Source organism: Homo sapiens, chromosome 3 (genome assembly GCF_000001405.40).
Source record: "Homo sapiens chromosome 3, GRCh38.p14 Primary Assembly".
Classification (NCBI taxonomy): Eukaryota; Metazoa; Chordata; class Mammalia; order Primates; family Hominidae; genus Homo; species Homo sapiens.
This window is the reverse complement of record NC_000003.12, coordinates 183,100,653-183,120,465: the sequence shown is the minus strand read 5'-3', so window position 1 is coordinate 183,120,465 and position 19,813 is coordinate 183,100,653. Positions and strand designations below refer to the sequence as shown.

Sequence of the window (19,813 nt, the reverse complement as noted above, 5' to 3'; positions counted from 1 at the left end):
TATAAACTATAAAAAGAATGGAAGAAGAATCTCTGCCAATGAAAAAAGAGTTTCATTTTATAATACTCCAGCCCCTCGCTCATCAACAAGTCCCTTCACCCCACCTTAGTGCCTCCAAGAGATGCCAATTTTGGTCAAGTGTTGGCAGGCATAAATAAGAGATGTTTAGGCCAGGTGCCATGGCTCACACCTGTAACCCTAGCACTTTGGGAGGCTGAGGCAGTTGGATCACCTGAGGTCAGGAGTTTGAGACCAGCCTGGCCAATGTTGTGAAACCCCATCTCTGCTAAAAATATAAAAATTAGCCAGGCATGGTGGTGGGCACCTGTAATCCCAGCTGTCTGGGAGGCTGAGGCAGGAGAATCATTTGAACCTGGGAGGTGAGGTTGCAGTGAGCCAAGATCGTAGGACTGCCCTCCAGCCTGGGCAACAGAGTGAGACTCTGTCTCAAAAAAAAAAAAAAAAAAAAAAAAAAAAAGAGATGTTTTATTTTGTTTTTAACTTAACTAGTTTTATATTAAGACCAAGATTGACTAAAGATAAAATTGTGAAATAAATTCTGTTATCAAAATTATAAAATCTCTTTTGCTTTCCAGATATTCCCTCATGCTGTCCTGGCAAACTTTCTTCTTAAGTGCTCATGTATTCTTCTAACTTCCTCATACCTCCACCAGCCCCACCACCCCACCCCAACATGCTTTGGCTGACCCCAACAATGTTATTCACTCACTCAATTCCATTTTTTTTTTAAACGGAGTCTCACTCTGTCACCCAGGCTGGAGTACAACGGCACAATCTCGGCTCACTGCAACCTCTGTCTCCTGGGTTCAAGCAATTCTCCTGCCTCAGCCTCCTGAGTAGCTGGGATTACAGGTGTGCACCACCATGGCCAGCTAATTTTTGTATTTTTAGTAGAGACGGGGTTTCACCATGTTGGCCAGGGTAGTCTCAAACTCCTGACCTCAGGTGATCCACCCTCCTCAGCCTCCCAAAGTGCTGGGATTACAGGGTCGAGCCACCGTGCACAGCCATTTTTTAAATTTTTTATTTTATTTTATTTTATTTTGAGACAGGGTCTCGCTCTGTCACCCAGGCTGGAATGCAGTGGTGTGATCACGGCTTACAGTAGCTTCAACTTCCCAGGCTCCAGCGATCCTCCCACCTCAGCCTCGAAGGTAGCTGGGACTACAGGTGCGTGCTATCACACCCAGCTAATTTTTAATTTTTTTTTTTGTAGATACGTGGTCTTGCTATGTTGCGCCAGCTGGTCTAAATTTCTGGGCTCAAATGATCCACTCACCTCTGCCTCCCAAAATGCTGGGATTACAGGCATGAAGCACCAATCCTGGCTCATTATCATGTGTTAGTAACCCATTGTGGAGTCGTCTTTTATCCCTCCCAAGGCCACGTGCATTTTGTCAAAAGACATTACCTTAATCCAAAGGCATAAAGCTTCGACTAAGTGCAATGGCTCACACCTGTAATCCCAGCACTTTGGGAGGCCAAGGGAAGCAGATCATTTGAGGCCAGGAGTTCGAGATCAGCCTGGCCAATATGGCAAAACCCCATCTCCACTAAAAATACAAAAATTGGCTGGGCATGGTGACACGCACCTGTAGTCCCATCTATTCGGGAGTCTGGGGCATGAGAATTGCTTGAACCCAGGGAGCGGAGGTTACAGTGAGTTGAGATAGCGCCACTGCACTCCAGCCTGGGTGACAGAGTGAGACTCTGTCTCAACATCGACAACAAAACAAAGGCATAAAGTTTTATGTGTGAGGTTTTAGGCCTGAGCACAAGATTAGCAAGAGGAATCTTTCAAGGCAGCAGGATCTCCTGGCCTCCATCTATTCTCACCACCTGCCAGGAGTCCCTACCCACACTTCCTGTTAAGATAGCTCTGATTATAAGCTTGTTCTATACTCACCTGCCTCTGTAGCTTCACTAGCTATTGGATGGACACTTTTAATTGGACAGTTTTAAAAGACATTACCGGCTGGGCGCGGTGGCTCACACCTGTAATCCCAGCACTTTTGGAGGCGGAGGCGGGTGGATCGCAAGGTCAAGAGATCGAGACTATCCTGGCCAACATGGGGAAACCCCGTCTCTACTAAAAATAAAAAAATTAGCTGGGTGTGGTGGTGCACACCTGTAGTCCCAGCTACTCGGGAGGCTGGGGCAGGAAAATCTCTTGAAACCAGGAGGCGGAGGTTGCAGTGAGCCAAGATAGTGCCACTGCACTCCAGCCTGACAACAGAGTGAGACTGTCTCAAAAAAAAAAAGTCAGCCAGGCATGGTGGTGCACACCTGTAATCCCAGCTACTCAGTAGGCTGAGGCAGGAGAATTGCTTGAACCTGGCAGGCGGAGGTTGCAGTGAGGCAAGATAGTGCCACTGCACTCCAGCCTGGGTGACAGAGCGAGACTCCATCTCAAAAAAAAAGAGAGAGAGCTATTGCCACGTTTGCCCCAAAGCCACAAGCATCTTCCACAGGCAGCTCCCAGACAATGACTGAGCATGCAGGGATACTAAGGTGAAACCATTCCCGGGACACATTGTCCTCATCTGACAGCTGACTTTGGCTTGAGAACTTCTCAACTGCCAGAACTTCCCCAGACTGCACGGCAGAAATGCTTCTGCCCAGTGCTCTTTCCCTTTCTCCTTCATGCAAGTTCAAGCTGGCATCATGGTCTGAAAACTCTCCAGCACCTTGGCTCCCTCACCATTTTCTCCCACAGACTTTTCACCTGATAAAGTCTGGCATGGTTAATCCCATCTTGGCATCTTTTTCTTTAAAGTCCCAGACTAACGTAAGTGGTGCTGAAAGTGCCCCAAGAAAAGAGGCAGTAGGAAGGGGATTTGGAACTGGCTCACCCATCACCCAGCAGATGAGGGGATACTGTCCTGGTTGATAGGTGGACGCAGATAGTTCCTGGACCTGGGTGGCAGCTCAGTTGCTAACGATTTCATTGGTGGTGACCTGAGAAAAGATGCTTTTGGAGGGGAATGCTGTAGCAGGTGTGATTTCACAAGCATTTAACAATATGGGAGAACAATGCCTACCAAGACAGCAGAATGGGCTGTCCTACTAAATTGTGTTGATGGCCCTGCAGGGGAATAACAGACTGAGGGCTGTTAACAAGCAGTGAATCACCAAATATGAGAGTAGGAGAGCCTTGGGAGCAGCTTACAAAACAGGCATTATCTTCCGCAGTGGCAAGACAGACTCGGTTTTGAACAGCTGGTCAAAAATCTAATTGCAAGCTGGGCTTGATGGCGCATGCCTGTAATACCAGCACCTTGAGTGGCTCAGGTGGGAGGATTGCTTGAGCCCAGGAGATTGAGACCAGCGTGAGCAACATAGAGAGACTCCTGTCTCTACAAAAAGTTAAAAAATTAGCTGGGCATGGTGGTGCTCACCTGTGGTCCCAGATATTCGGGAGGCTGCGGTGGGAGGATAGCTTGAGCCCAGGAGATCAAGGCTGCAGTGAGCAGTAATCTCACCACTGCACTCCAGCCTGGGTGACAGGGCAAGACCCTGTTTCAAAAAAAAAAAAAAAAATTGCAAGTCTACAGAGCCTCAAAGAGATTTGAGTGTCTGGTGCAGGCAGGTCTGGTATACAAAGTGCAGGGCCCTGGTGGGGAAATCCGGGATCCTGAACCATAGCTCAGGGGCACTGAGATGGATTCCGCCAGTGATATTTGACTCTGCAAAAGCCCAGAGCCTCTGGGATTTCAGATGTAGCCCAGCCTTCCCTACTTCGTGCTAGCACATCAGTTTTCTGGAAGATGCTACTGAAGCCTCTCTCACAAGGCAAGAGGTGACCCCTCAGGAGTTGCCTCACCTCTTCTCCTCCTTGCCAGGCTGAGAACTAGTATGAAAATGCAGCTGAACACATGCTGGGCCTGATTGAGGCAGGAGAATCGGGAAATTGGGGTTAGCAGGGTTTCAGCAAGTGCAGCCAGTGCGCACGGGCAGGGGAACAGTAGGTGCAGCCAGTCCGCACGGGCAGGGGAACAGCAGGCGCAGTCAGTGCGCACGGGCAGGGAAACAGCAGGCGCAGCCAGTCCGCAAGGGCAGGGGAATAGCAGGCGCAGCCAGTCCGCACGGGCAGGGGAAAAGCAGGTGCAGCCAGTCCTCACGGGCAGGGGAACAGCAGGTGCAGCCAGTGCGCACGGGTAGGGGAACAGCAGGTGCAGCCAGTCTGCACCGGCAGGGGAACAGCGGGTGCAGTCAGTGCGCATGGGCAGGGGAACAGCGGGTGCAGTCAGTGCGCATGAGCAGGAGAGCCGCAGGTGCAGCATATAGATCACATCCTCGCTCCCATGACAACAAGCCCCTTTAGCCCCCCATTGGCCGCCGGCCAGTCCTTCATGGGGTGTGGCCAATTGGAGGCTTCTGAGGGTTTCCTAGGGGTTTTGCTGGGTTCTTTCTAGCTTAATTTAAAAAAAACCCTACTTGAGGGGGCTCTTCAGCAACTGCTTGCTCGAGCCCACTCCCACTCTGTGACCGTCTTCAATAAATCTGTGCCCACTCCGTGGTGTTGTGTTCAACTATTTGTCCAATACGCCAAGAACCTGGACATCACATTTAGGACTTTTTTTTTTTAATTTGAGATGGAGTTTTGCTCTTGTCACTCAGGCTGGAGTGCAGTGGCGTGATCTCGGCTCACTGCAACTTCCGCCTCCCGGGTTCAAGCGATTCTTCCACCTCAGCCTCCCGAGTAGCTGGGATTACAGGCGCCCAACACCATGCCCAGCTAATTTTTGTATTTTTAGTAGAGATGGAGTTTCACCATGTTGGCCAGGCTGGTCTCCAACTCCTGACCTCAGATGATCCACCCACCTCAGCCTCCCAAAGTGCTGGGATTACGGGCGTGGGCCACCGCACCTGGCAGCATTTAGGACCTTCTCTCTGGTAACATAAGTAGGGGAAGAGACAACACACACCCAAAATGGCAAGAATCCGCTGGCACGGACAGGCTGGACCCAGGTGAGTACTCCTGGGGTTGGATTTTGAAGGTGCTTGGTCAATAGAGCCAAAAGGTAAATCTGGGTGAGCAAGAATTCACTGACCTCAGGGTAGATTCTTGAACATGGTATTTAACACCCAGCAAGAACTCCAGGGAATGGACACTTGCTGAGATGGCTCTTAGAAGCCTGGAAGAAATGATAGCCAATTCTAAGCAAAGCGGAGATGCCTGGGTGGCCCTGGCAGATGGCAGAGGAAGGAATAAGGAGGTTGAGGAGAGTGTTGAATTGATGTGTTTTAGTAAGGTCAGAAGACATGCTAGAGGATTGTTTTCCATGAGAGGGCTTAGGATACATCTTTTATCAAGGCCGTCAGAGGGGTGCCGGCATCCCTGGGCACGTTGGTGTGGCTCTTTTTTGTAACACAGTTGGTAGGAGAGAGGTCCCAGAACTGGGAGTGTGGGAATGATGGGTCCCCTGAAACAAAGCCAGGCGGCAGCATTTAGCACCACGAGCCGGGAGACTGTCATTACCATAACAACTGGCAAGGTAGAGGGGCATCCAAAGGAGCTTGGTTTGCAGGACTGTGGATGTGGTTAATGGAGCAGGGAATCCCTAGGAGCAAAATACAGGGGCAGCCAGCATGGGTCCTGCTTAACATCTAAAGCAACAGCAACAACAACAGACAGTGGAGAGGCAGGAGGCTAAGGGTGGTCACTCCAATAAAACACCACGATTCCTTGCTCCGTTTCCAGAACCGAGGCAATTTTTAGATCTAGAGTCACTGTCTGAATAAGTGGCTTGCTCTCTAGGAGGAAGAGCCTGTGAAGATTCTTCCCCTTCTTCCCCCAAAGGGACTTGAGAGGAAAATACTGTCTTACTTCTTCTTTCACACCATAACAATCAACACAGAAAACTGCTGTGATCAAATGTGTATGTTTCTCCCCACCCTCAAATACCGAGCAAGCCATCAGTTCTGCAGTGGACACCAGATGGCTTCCTTCAATTCAATTCTGACACTGCCTGGAGACAGCATCAGATCCCATGTTGTACCCGAGCGAGTTAGAAAAACGCCACACTTTGAGATGAATTAAAAGTCCTTTATTAGCCAGCGACCGAGAGACGGCTAACGCTCAAAATTTGGCCCCAAGAAAGGGGCTTGATTAACTTTTACATCTTGGTTTAGGAAGGGGGGCGGGGGGTCTAGTTAAAACAATTTTACAGAAGTTAAGTAGTCAAAAAGGTAAAAGGATAAATGGTTACAGGAAAGTAAACAGTTCCAGGTGCAGGGGCTTTAAGACTATTACAAGGTGATAGACACAGGGCTTTGGGCGTTATCAATCAGACGAATTCTTGGGCACTGCGGATATAGCTCGCCACAGTATCTTATCCGTTAATTGCATTCTTGGATGTGCTGGGAGTCAGCTTGCACAAGTTAAGTCCTTGAGGAAGAGGCTGCCAGTGAAAGAGCCAAGATGGAGTTTGTCTTGTTCTCTTAGCTAAGGGAGAAACAAGGCCTGGTGAATAAGGAAAAAACAAGGTTGGGCATTACACCCACGGGTTGAGGGCTCACCCCCCAAGACAGCTCCCCACCCGCTCTGCACTTCTGATGCCAGTTGCAAGCCCTGGGTTATTTTGCCTGTATTTTTGACCCACCAGCTAAAAATCAGGATTTCCACAACTCCCTCCTCAGGTTCTATTAATTTGCTAGAGTGGCTCCCAGAACTCTGGGAAACACTTTTACCAGTTTATTATAAAGGACCCTTTTTTTAAATTTTTTTTTATTTTTTTTTGAGACAGAGTCATCTTCTGTCACCCAGGTTGGACCACAGCGGTGTGATCACAGCTCATTGCAGCCTTGACCTCCTGGACTTAAGGGAACCTCCCACCTCAGCTTCCTTTTTTTTATTTTTTATTTATTTATTTTTATTATTATACTTTAAGTTCTAGGGTACACGTGCACAATGTGCAGGTTTGTTACATATGTATACATGTGCCATGTTGGTGTGCTGCACTCATTAACTCGTCATTTACATTAGGTATATCTCCTAATGCTATCCGTCCCCCCTCCCCCCACCCCACAACAGTCCCCGGAGTATGATGTTCCCCTTCCTGTCCAAGTGTTCTCATTGTTCAATTCCCACCTATCAGTGAGAACAGCGGTGTTTGGTTTTCTGTCCTTGCGATAGTTTGCTGTTCTACTTCAGCTTTCTAAGTAGCTGGAACCACAGGCTCCCACCACTAAGCCCAGTTAATTTTTTTTTTTTTTTTTTGAGATGGAGTCTCGCTCTGTCACCAGGCTGGAGTGCAGTGGAGCCATCTCGGCTCACTGCAATCTCTGCCTCCCGGGTTCAAGGGATTCTCCTGCCTCAGCCTCCCGAGTAGCTGAGGTTACAGGCGCCCACTACCACGCCCAGCTAATTTTTGTATTTTTAGTAGAGACGGAGTTTCACCATCTTGGTCAGGATGGTCTCGATCTCTTGACTTCGTGATCCGCCGGCCTTGGCCTCCCAAAGTGGTGAGATTACAGGCGTGAGCCACCGTGCCCGGCCAATTTTTTTTTTATTTTTTATTTTTTTTTATTTTTTAAGATGGGGGTCTCACTACATTGCCAGGCTGGTCTCCAACTTCTGGTCTCAAGCAATCCTCCTGCCCAAGCTCCCAAAGGGCTGAGATTACAGGTGTGAGCCAATGCGCCCAGCCTTCAAAGGATATTTTAAAGTATACAAATAGACAGATGAAGAGATACATAGGGTAAAGTCTGGAACGGTTTGCATGCTGGTATACATGCTGAAATATTTATGGATGAAATTAAATGATGGTTGAAATTTGCCTCAGAAAAATCTGATAGGAAGTGGTGATAGGTGGGATATAGATGAAAAAGGTTAATCGTGAGTTGATAATTATTAAAATTGTATAATGTGTACAGGGATTTATTATATAATTCTACCCACTCTTGTAATGGTAAAGCTTTTCCATAATAAAAGGTTTTTTAAACCAGGGGAGAAAAACTCATATGCATGAGAGAAAATGTCTTGTCTTTGCTTGATGTTGTGTCTGCTGTGATGGTAGGAGCCACTGCAGCCTTCTTTTGACACTTGCTGAAAATGGTAGAGCAGGATAGAAAGCACATGGCCACATCCTTGGTGATAACATTGAGCTATTGAGTTAACCAGTCCTGGAAACACCCTACCTTCTGTCCTTGTTATGTGAAATAAATTTCCCTCATTTTTAGTTGGATGTTCTGTGGCTTACAGGCAAAAACATCTTAATTGACACGGGGAACAACAAGAAATTTGTAGGATTAACAGAGTCATAGAGCTTAATTTAAAATGATGAGATTGATGATGAGGAAAATGCCTGGGCCCTTTTTAGGTATTAGAAAGCTGAGCTGGCATACATTTGTTTTCAGAATCACTGAACCCTGCTCTATTTTACAAAATGGATTTTCAGAAGACCAGAGAGACTCAGAGCACTTCCATTTATTGAGGAATGTTTTTTTTTTTAAATTTAGGAAAGCCAAAACAATGTTTCAAAAATGGCGATATATTTTACATGTTGACATGTAACAAAATAACATTTTAACACAAAAATTACAATGCAAAGTTGTGGCTATTCATAGGATAATTATAAGATAAAAATAAAATATCCATTCATGGCACAGTGTAGGGAGTGTGGTCTCGCACTGAGGCACAGGTTCAAATTTCTGTCCGTCTGATCACTGTGTTGCTGGGACTATATGAATGACTTCATTTGGAGAAGGTTTAAATTTAAAACGCTTTTTGAATGCAAAGTCTGGGTTAACAGCCCTTCTGGACCTCCTGGTCTTTCCTGCAATAGGCCTAAGAATAACTCACATGCATGTATCACTTTATAGTCTTCAAAGGTCATTTGAAGGCTGGACGCGGTGACTCACGCCTGTAATCCCAGCACTTTGGGAGGCCAAGGCGGGCAGATCACCTGAGGTCAGGAGTTCGAAACCAGCCTGGCCAACATGGCAAAACCCCATGTCTACTAAAAATGCAAAAATTAGCCAGGCGTGGTGGTAGGTGCCTATAATCCCAGCTACTCGGGAGGCTGAGGCAGGAGAATCACTTGAGCCTGGGAGGCAGAGGTTGCAGTGAACTGAGATTGCGCCACTGCATTCCAGCCTGAGCGACAGAGTGAGACTCCATCTCAAAACAAAAAAAAAAGGTCATTTGACATAACTTATTTAATCTTCACAATGACCCTGTAAGGTAACAAATACAGGGTGCTGCGTATTGCATTGGGGTTCCCAGCCAAAGGGGTTGACAGAAGCGGAAATCCAGACTTGTACTCGACTTACCATGCTGTGTATCCTGTCCTGAGTTTGCCTGTTCCAGGAGAATAAGGAACTCTTATATAATTTTCCCAAAGAGACACAAGCAAACAGCAGTCCTGATGATATAATACATATGTAAACATCTTTATCATCATTAAAAAGCATGTCAAATTGTACTGGTACAAAAACAGATGCATAGACCAATGGAGCAGAATAGAGAATCCAGAAATAAAGCTGCATACCTACAATCATCTGATCTTCAACAGAGTTAATAATAATAAGCAATGGGGAAAGGACTCCCTATTCAATAAATGGTGCTGTGATAACCGGCTAGCCATATGCAGAAGATTGAAACTAGATCCCTACCTTTCTCCATACACAAAAATTAACCCAAGATGGATTAAAGACTTAAATATAAGATCTAAAACTATAGAAGTCCTAGAAGAATACCTAGAAAATACCATTCTGAACATCAGCCTTGGCAAAAAATTTGTGACTAGGCCGGGTGCGGTGGCTTACGCCTGTAATCCCATCACTCTGGGAGGCTGAGGTGGGCGGATCATGGGGTCAGGAGATCGAGACCATTCTGACTAACACAGTGAAACCCCGTCTCCACTAAAAAATACAAAAAATTAGCCAGGCGTAGTGGCGGGCGCCTGTAGTCCCAGCTACTCAGGAGGCTGAGGCAGGAGAATGGCGTGAACCTGGGAGGCGGAGCTCACAGTGAGCTGAGATCGCGGCACTGCACTCCAGCCTGGGTGACAGAGTGAGACTCTGTCTCAAAAAAAAAAAAAAAAAATTGTGACTAAAGGGATCTAAAATTATAAAAGTCCTGGAAGAATACCTAGAAAATACCATTCTGAACATCAGCCTTGGCAAAAGATTTGTGACTAAGTCTCCAAAAGCAATGGCAACAAAACCAAACATCGACAGGTAGGACCTAATTAAACTACAGAGCTTCTACACAGCAAAAGAACCATCAACAGAATGCACAGATAACCTACAGAATGGGAGAAAATATTTGCAAATTAGGCATCTGACAAAGGTCTAATACCCAGAATCTATAGGGAACTTAATTAAACTAGCAAAAGACAATCCTATTAAAAATGGGCAAAGGACATGAACAGACACTTCTCAAAAGAGGACATACATGCAGCCAACAAATATATGAAAAAAATTCTCAATATCACTAATCATTAGAGAAATACAAATCAAAATCACAATGAGATCCATCTTGTACCAATCAGAATGGCCATTATTAAAAAGTCAAAAACATAACAGACAGTGAGGCTGTAGAGAAAAGGGAACGTTTATACACTGCTGGTGGGAATGTAAATTAGTTCAGCCACTGTGGAAATCAGTTTGGAGATTTCTCAAAGAACTTAAAACAGAACTACCATATGACCCAGCAATCCCATTATCGGATATATACCCAAAGGAATATAAATCATTCTACCAAAGAGACACACACACTCATATGTTCATCACAGCACCATTCACAATAGCAAAGACATGCAGTCAACCTAGGTGCCCATCAACAGTGGACTGGAAAAGAAAATGTGGTACATATTTACTATGGAATACTACACAACCATAAAAAAGAAAGAAATCATGTCCTTTGCAGCAACATGGATGCAGCTGGAGGCCACTATCCTAAGCGAATTAACATGGGAACAGAAAACCAAATACCACATGTTCTCACTTACAAGTGGGAGCTAAACGTTCAATACACATCTATACAAACATTAGAACAATAGGCACTGGGTACCACCAGAGGAGAGATGGTGGGAGGGAGGCAATAGTTGAAGAACTATCAGGTACTATGCTCACCAGGGTGACGGGATCATTTGTACGCTAAACCTCAGCAGCATGCAATATACCCATATAAATAACCTACACATGGCCAGGCACGGTGGCTCACGCCTGTAATCCCAGCACTTTCGGAGGTCGAGGTGGGCGGATCACCAGATGTCAAGAGTTCAAGACCAGCCTGGGCAACATGGTGAAACCCCGTCTCTACTAAAAATACAAAAATTAGCTGGGCATGGTGGCCGGCGCCTGTAATCCCAGCTACCTGGGAGGCTGAGACAGAAGAATCACTTGAATCCAGGAGGCGGAGGTTGTAGTGAGCCGAGATCGCGCCACTGCACTCCAGCTTGGGCAACAAAGAGGAAAACTCCATCTCAAAAACAAAAACAAAACAAACAAACAAAAAACCCCACAAACCTGCATGTGTAGCCCCGAACCTAAAAGAAAAATTTTTTAAAAACCCAGCATATCAAAGTCCTTCAATACATATGATGCTGTAATGGGTCATTCCTTTGGGCTTTAGTTTTATCCCAGATATACCTATTGAACACCAAAGAGGCTACTGGGGCTGTTCTACACTTCGGTTGGAGCAAGTGCGAGGATGATGGATCAGTATAACTGCCCTTGCCCCAGAAATTGGAAATAATCATGCCTGATCTAAAACAGGATCAGTGGGTGGAGTTATAGAGAGAACAGCACACCAGCTTCTAACTCTGTACCTCCACTTCCACTTCCTCCCCCCAGTATTTTCTTCAGTCAGATTTAAACATTACTTCTTGTTAAAGTCATGTCTGTTTCTTGTAGAACTTTGCGAAGTGCAGAAAATTATTCAGAAGTAATGTTGAGAAGGAGTGGTGGAGAATGAAACACAATTCTACCTCTCGGAGACAAAACCATATGGAATGTCAAAAAAAAATATTTACAGTGAGGAAACCTGGCAGACACCAATTTAATCAAGTGATAAAGTTAACATCATGGAACAAACTCACATTTTGTAGCTCCAGATATGATGCACTGAAATGGGTATGACATCACTTCTGTGGTATTCCTGCCAAAAGGGAGGAATCTAATTACCTAAATCTAATAACCTAAATCTAATCATGAGGAAATACCAGATGAACAGGTTAAAGAAAAATAAAATTGGAGGCCACAGTTTGGATATTTCCCTAGGCCAACAACCCACAGCCATGTGTAGTCAAAACCTAAACTATCCTGATTTCCCTGAAAATGCTAGCCCTAACCATAACACACTTTTTCTTCCTTGTCAGCGTAATAACATTAAGCCAATACAAACAAGCTTATGCAGCTTTATTTGCACAACAGAGATCAACGTACTTCCTCATTTAGGAAGCTGCACAGAGGTCTCTAGTTTGGGAACTGTTATTTTGTATGCTCAATAATCTTTTTGAGAATTTAAATTTAATCTGATTTTATTTTTGGCAAACCCAAATTCAAGGATATTGTACAAAACAACTGGCCTGTATTCATAAAAAATATCAGCATCATCAGCATCTTTTTAAAAACGGAGGAATCAGGCTGGGTGCAGTGGCTCACACCTGTAATCCCAGCACTTTGGGAGACTGAGGCGGGCGGATCACTTGAGGTCAGGAGTTTGAGACCAGCCTGGCCAACATGGTGAAACCTCCGTTTCTACAAAAAAGAAAGAAAAGAAAACTAGCCAGGCGTGGTGGCATGCGCCTGTAATCCCAGCTACTTGGGAGGCTGAGGCATGAGAATCACTTGAATACAGGAGGCAGAGGTTGCAGTAAGCCAAGATTACACCACTGCACTCCAGCCTGGGTGACAGAGTGAGACTTCATTTCAACAACAACAACAACAACAACAACAAATAATAATAATAATAATAATAATAAAAACAAAACAGAGGAATCAATACAAATTAAGTGACCTAAGAGTCAATGCAATGTGTACTACAGTGTTTTCTTTTTCTTTTTCTTTTTCTTTTTTTTTTTTTGAGATGGAGTTTCGCTCTTGTTGCCCAGGCTGGAGTGCAAAGGCACGATCTCAGCTCACTGCAACCTCCACCTCCTGGGTTCAAGCGATTCTCCTGCCCCAGCCTCCCCAGTAGCTGGGACTACAGGTGCATGCCACCATGCCCAGCTAATTTTTTTTTTATTCTTAGTAGAGATGGGGTTTCACCATGTTGGCCAGGCTGGTCTCAAACTCCTGACCTCAAATGATCCGTCCGCCTCAGCCTCCCAAAGTGCTGGGATTACAGGCGTGAGCCACTGCGCCTGGCCACTACAGTGTTTTCTTTTGGAACAATTGTTGAAAGTCAAAGTAGGTCTGTAGAATAAATAATAGTATGTATCAGTGTTAACTTCACAATCTTCAAAAATATTCTGTGGGCAAGTGATAAAATCTCCTTGTTTTAGGAAATATGCAGTGACATAGTTAGAGGTAAAAAAAAAGGCATCATGTCTGCAGCCTGCTTTCAAATGGTTCCAAAAGAAAATGTGAGTGTATGCATGTGTGAGTGTGTGTGTGTACACATATATATCTATATCTGCATGAGGAGAGGGAGAGAGAGAAAGATAAAGCAAATGCGATAAAATAGAAACATTTGGGCTGGGCGTGGTGACTCATGCCTGTAATCCCAGCACTTTGGGAGGCTAAGGTGGGTGGATCACCTGAGGTCAGGAGTTTGAGATCAGCCTGGCCGACACGGTGAAACTCCGTCTCTACTAAAAATACAAAAATTAGCCTGGTATGGTGGAGCGCCTGCAATCCCAGCTACTCAGGAGGCTGAGGCAGTAGAATCGCTTGAACCTGGGAGGCTGAGGTTGCAGTGAGCTGAGATTGCACCCCTGCACTCCAGCCTGGGCGACAGAGCGAGACTCTGTTTCAAAAAAGAAAGAAAGAAAGAAAGAAAGAAAGAAAAGAACAAAGAAACATTTGGGAAATCTAGGTGAAGGGTACTATTCTTGCAGCTTTTCTGTAAGTTTGAAGTTATAGCAAAACAAAACATTTTAAAATTATGTGTTTTTCTATAGTATCAGCCTAAATAAGGAACAGAGAGAGGCTCTATAAAAGAAAAAGATATTTATTTTGGAATAAGCCATTGCAATGGGAGTAAGCTTTTTAAAGGAAAACATGAGGAGTATTATGTAATTGTTTTGAAATAATTATCCTTGGCTACAAAGATGAATAACATGGGTGATGCCAGTCCAGGGTTCCATAGGCAGTTGCTGGACACATGTTCTTGCAGAAGTATTTTTTGTGTAAGGTTGTGATGGCCTTTGTGCAAGGTTGTAGTTTTGGTAGTCTTTTTTTTTTTTTTTACGGACTCTCTGTTGCTCAGGCTGGAGTGTAATGGCGCGATCTGGGCTCACTGCAACCTCCCCCTCCCAGGTTCAAGTGATTCTCCTGCTTCAACCTCCTGAGTAGCTGGGATTATAGGCACCAGCCACCATGTCCGGCTAATATTTGTATTTTTTAGTAGAGACAGGGTTTCACCATGTTGGCCAGGCTGGTCTTGAACTCCTGACCTCGTGATCCACCTGCCTCAGCCTCCCAAAATGCTGGGATTACAGGCGTGAGCCACTGCACCAGGCCAATTTTGGCAGTCTTTTGTGACACTTTTTGTTATCAGGAATACAAGCCTGAAAACACTCTCTTCATAGCCTTCCCAGCTCTATTTGTAAGAGTTTTTTTTTTTCTTTCTTCTTTTTTACCATTAGTGACTCCTTTTTGATTATGACAACTTTCACAATAGCTAATACAGGCCTAAGGTACGAAACGCAAAAGATGCAAAAGGGTGTACAATAAATATTCACCTCCATCATCTCTGTCCTCAAGCCAACAACTTTTCTTGCCTAGAGGATATTTCTACATATATAAGCATATGGGAATTTTCTTTCTCCTATTTTTACATAAATGATGAAATAATAATCATGGTTTTTTATTTTGCTTTTTTCACTCATCAGTGTGTTTTATGAGTACATATTGCTCTGTCTCATTCTTTTTTAATGACTGCATAGTAATTCATTGTTTTTCTGCATGTACTTTTTTTTATTTTGAGACAGAGTTTTGCTCTTGCTGCCCAGGCTGGGGTGCAATGGCGTGACCTCAGCTCACTGCAACCTTTACCTCCCAGGTTCAAGCAATTCTCCTGCCTCAGCCTCCCAAGTAGCTGGGATTACAGGCATATGCCACCACGCCCAGCTAATTTTGTATTTTTACTAGAGATGGGGTTTCTCCATGTTGGTCAGGATAGTCTCGAACTCCCAACATCAGGTGAGTCGCCTGCCTCGGACTCCCAAAGTGCTGGGATTACAGGCGTGAGCCACCACACCCGGCCTGCATGTACATTATTTAATTAGTTTCTTTAATCAGTTTGCTATTTCCAACAATGCTATAATAAATTTCCTTAATCATATATCATTTCAAACATCTTTGGGTATATCTGTAGGTGAATTCCAAGAAATTCTTTTGCTAGGTCAAAGAGTTTGTGGATTTGCAATTTTGATAAATATTGTAAAAGTACTATGCAGAATGGTTGTGCCAATTTTTACTTGCAACAGTAAAGTGTGATAATATTCCCACACCCCTCACTAATTACAGTGTGCTAAACTTTATGTTATCTGCTAATATGATAGGTGAAGTATGGTGTATTATTATTGTATTTCTCTTATTTGGTGTGAGATTAAGTATGTTTTATATTTGCTTACTTTTTCTATTCTGTGAATTCCTCATATTCTTTGACCATTTTCTCTTTCATTACAGATCTTTTTTCTTATCGGTTTATAGTTCTTTATATATTAAGGAAAGTAGCCCTTCATCTGTGATAAGAGTTGCAAAATTATTCCGTCTGCTGTTTGACTTTCTCTATGTGTATGTTTTGCTGTGCAGATTTTAAAACTTTTTCATGTAGTTGAAGCTATCCTTCCTTTTTTTTTCCATTATAGCTTCTGAGTATTGTGTTATACTTAGAGAAGCTTTCTCTGGCTGGGCACAGTGGCTCATGCCTGTAATCCCAGCACTTTCGGAGGCCAAGGCGGGTAGATCAGTTTAGGTCAGGAGTTCGAGACAGCTTGGCCAACATGGTGAAACTGAGAGGTGACAGCGTGCTGGCAGTCCTCACAGCCCTCGCTCGCTCTCGGCGCCTCTTCTGCCTGGGCTCCCAGTTTGGCGGCACTTGAGGAGCCCTTCAGCCCACCGCTGCACTGTGGGAGCCCCTTTCTAGGCTGGCCAAGGCCGGAGCTGGCTCCCTCAGCTTGCAGGGAGGTGTGGAGGGAGAGGTGCGAGCGGGAACCGGGGCTGCGCGCGGCGCTTGCGGGCCAGCTGGAGTTCCGGGTGGGCGTAGGCTTGGTGGGCCTCGCACTCGGAGTAGCCGGCCGGCCCTGCCGGCCCGGGGCAATGAGGGGCTTAGCACCCGGGCCAGCGGCTGCGGAGGGTGTACTGGGTCCCCCAGCAGTGCCGGCCCACCGGCGCTGCGCTGGATTTCTCGCCGGGCCTTGGCTGCCTCCCCGCGGGGCAGGGCTCGGGACCTGCAGCCCGCCATGCCTGAGCCTCCCCCCGCTCCGTGGGCTCTTGTGCGGCCCGAGCCTTCCCGATGAGCGCCGCCCCCTGCTCCACAGCGCCCAGTCCCATCGACCACCCAAGGGCTGAGGAGTGCGGGCGCACGGCGCGGGACTGGCAGGCAGCTCCACCTGCAGCCCCAGTGCCGGACCCACTGGGTGAAGCCACCTGGACTCCTGAGTCTGGTGGGGACGTGGAGAACCTTTACGTCTAGCTCAGGGATTGTAAATACACCAAGGTTTGTAAACACACCAATCAGCACCCTGTGTCTAGCTCAGGGTTTGTGAATGCACCAATTGACACTCTGTATCTAGCTGCTCTGGTGGGGGCTTGGAGAACCTTTGTGTGGATACTCCGTATCTAGCTAATCTAGGCTAATCTCCACGTCTCCAGGCTGGGGACGTGGAGAACCTTTGTGTCTAGCTCAGGGATTGTAAACGCACCAATCAGTGCCCTGTCAAAACAGACCACTGGGCTCTACCAATCAGCAGGATGTGGGTGGGGCCAGATAAGAGAATAAAAGCAGGCTGCCCAGAGCGAGTAGTGCCAACCCGCTCGGGTCTGCTTCCACACTGTGGAAGCTTTGTTCTTTCGCTCTTTGCAATAAATCCTGCGGCTGCTCACTCTTTGGGTCCACATTGCCTTTATGAGCTGTAACACTGCAAAGGTCTGCAGCTTCACTCCTGCCTGAGCTAGTGAGACCAGGAACCCACCAGAAGGAAAAAACTCCGAACACATCCAAACATCAGAAGGAACAAACTCCAGACGCGCCACCTTAAGAGCTGTAACACTCACCGCGAGGATCTGCGGTTTCATTCTTGAAGTCAGTGAGACCAAGAACCCACCAATTCCAGACACAAAACCTCGTCTCTACTAAAAATACAAAAAATGAGCTAGGTGCAGTAGTGGATGCCTGTAATCCTAGCTATTCGGGAGGCTGAGCCATGAGAATCATTTGAACTTGGGAGGTGGAGGTTGCAGTGAGCCGAGATCATGCCATTGCACTCTAGCCTGGGCAACAGAGAGAGACTTCGTCTCAAAAAAAAAAAAAAAAAAAAAAAAAAAAAAAAAAAAAAAAAAAAAACTTTCTCTGCTCTAAGACCTCCCATAATGTCTTCTAGAACTTTTATGCTTTCATCTTTTATATTTAATCTTTCATCTACTTGGAATATTTTGGTGTTAGGTGTAAGAAGTAAGCAGGGATCCAGCTTTTTTTTCCAGAGGGCTAATCACTGGTCCCAATCACTTCTTGAATTACTGAGTTTTAAAATCTAGAATGAAGGTCAGATTTTGTCAATGACCTATTAAGCCTCTGTGAATATAAGTTTTTCTCTTTTAAACTCTTAATATTCATTTTATTAATTGATTTCTTAATAGTGAATCATCCTTATACTTCTGGAATAAACCTTGCTTATTTACAGTGTGTTATTCTTTTCACATGCTACAGGATACTTCAGTTATTTTTTTTGCTTCTTTTTTGGAGACATTCTCTCACTCTGTTACCCAGGCTGGAGTATAGTGGCATGATAAGAGCTCATTGCAGCTTCAAACTCCTGGGCTCAAGTGATCCTGCCTCAGTCTCCCGAGTAGCTGGGACTACAAGTGTGCATCATTACGCCCAGTTTTTTTAAAAAAATGTTTGTGCAGATGCGGGTCTCACTATATTGCCCAGGCTGGTCTCAAACTCCTAGGCTTAAGCAGTTTGGGAGGCCCACCTCAGCCTCCCAAAGTGATGGCGTGTCCGAAATTGGTGGGTTCTTGGTCTCACTGACTTCAAGAATGAAGCTGCACACCCTCGCGGTGAGTGTTACAGCTCTTAAGGCGGCGCGTCTGGAGTCTGTCCCTTCTGATGTTCAGATGTGTTCGGAGTTTCTTCCTTCTGGTGGGTTCGTGGTCTCACTGGCTCAGGAGTGAAGCTGCAGACCTTCGCGGTGAGTGTTACAGCTCTTAAGGCAGCGTGTCCGGAGTTGTTCGTTCCTCCCGGTGGGCTCGTGGTCTCGCTGGGCTCAGGAGTGAAGCTGCAGATCTTCGTGATAAGTGTTACAGCTCATAAAAGCAGCGTGGACCCAAAGAGTGAGCAGTAGCAAGATTTATTGCAAAGAGCGAAAGAACAAAGCTTCCACAGCGTGGAATGGGACCCGAGCAGGTTGCCAATGCTGGTTTGGGCAGCCTGCTTTTATTCTCTTATCTGGCCCCACCCACATCCTGCTGATTGGTAGAGCCCAGTGGCCTGTTTTGTCAGGGTGCTGATTGGTGCGTTTACAATCCCTGAGCTAGATACAAAGGTTCTCCACGTCCCCATCAGATTAGTTAGATACAGAGTTTCGACACACAGGTTCTCCAAGGCCCCACCAGAGCAGCTAGATACAGAGTGTCGATTGGTGCATTCACAAACCTTGAGCTAAACACAGGGTGCTGACTGGTGTATTTACAATCCCTGAGCTAGATATAAAGACTCTCCACGTCCCCACCAGACTCAGGAGCCCAGCTGGCTTCACCTAGTGGATCCCGCACCGGGGCTGCAGGTGGAGCTGCCTGCCAGTCCTGCGCCGCCGTGCGCTCGCATTCCTCAGCTCTTGGGTGGTCGATGGGACTGGGCGCCGTGGAGCAGGGGGTGGCGCTCATCGGGGAGGCTTGGGCCGCACAGGAGCCCATGGAGTGGGTGGGAGGTTCAGGCATGGCGGGCTGCAGGTCCCGAGCCCTGCCCCGTGGGAAGGCAGCCAAGGCCCGGCGAGAAATCGAGCGCAGCGCCGGTGGGCCAGCACTGCTGGGGGACTCAGTACACCCTCCGCAGCCACTGGCCCGGGTGCTAAGTCCCCCATTGCCCGGGGTCAGCAGGGCTGGCTGGCTGTTCCGAGTGCGGGGCCCACCAAGCCCACGCCCACCCGGAACTCCAGCTGGCCCGCAAGTGCCGCACACAGCCCCAGTTCCCGCTCGTGTCTCTCCCTCCACACCTCCCTGCAAGCTGAGGGAGTGGGCTCCGGCCTTGGCCAGCCCAGAAAGGGGCTCCCACAGTGCAGTGGGGGACTGAAGGGCTCCTCAAATGCCACCAAAGTGGGAGCCCAGGCAGGGGAGGTGCCGAGAGCAAGCGAGGGTTCTGAGGACTGCCAGCACGCTGTCACATCTCAATGGGGGGTTACAAGACATGAGCCACAGCACCCAGCGTAGTTAATATTTTATTTAGAATTTT

At 46.4% G+C, this 19,813-nt stretch overlaps 1 protein-coding gene and 1 long non-coding RNA gene across 3 annotated transcripts in view; one reads left to right on the top strand and one right to left on the bottom strand.

Moving 5' to 3' along the window:
* MCCC1 (methylcrotonyl-CoA carboxylase subunit 1) overlaps window positions 4,270-19,813 on the top strand; it is a 100,979-nt gene continuing 85,435 nt past the window's right edge. For both annotated transcript variants that reach the window (XM_047448586.1, XM_047448591.1), the window contains exon 1: window positions 4,270-4,992. In XM_047448586.1, the coding sequence (XP_047304542.1) occupies window positions 4,955-4,992 (38 nt within the window). In that variant the 5' untranslated portion in view covers window positions 4,270-4,954. The remainder of the gene's footprint in view (window positions 4,993-19,813) is intronic.
* On the bottom strand, window positions 6,213-12,241 carry LOC105374247 (uncharacterized). The gene is made up of 3 exons (XR_924772.3): window positions 12,072-12,241; window positions 9,298-9,389; window positions 6,213-6,469 (listed from the first exon to the last, which is right to left on the bottom strand). It is a non-coding gene; the product is annotated as an uncharacterized LOC105374247 (long non-coding RNA).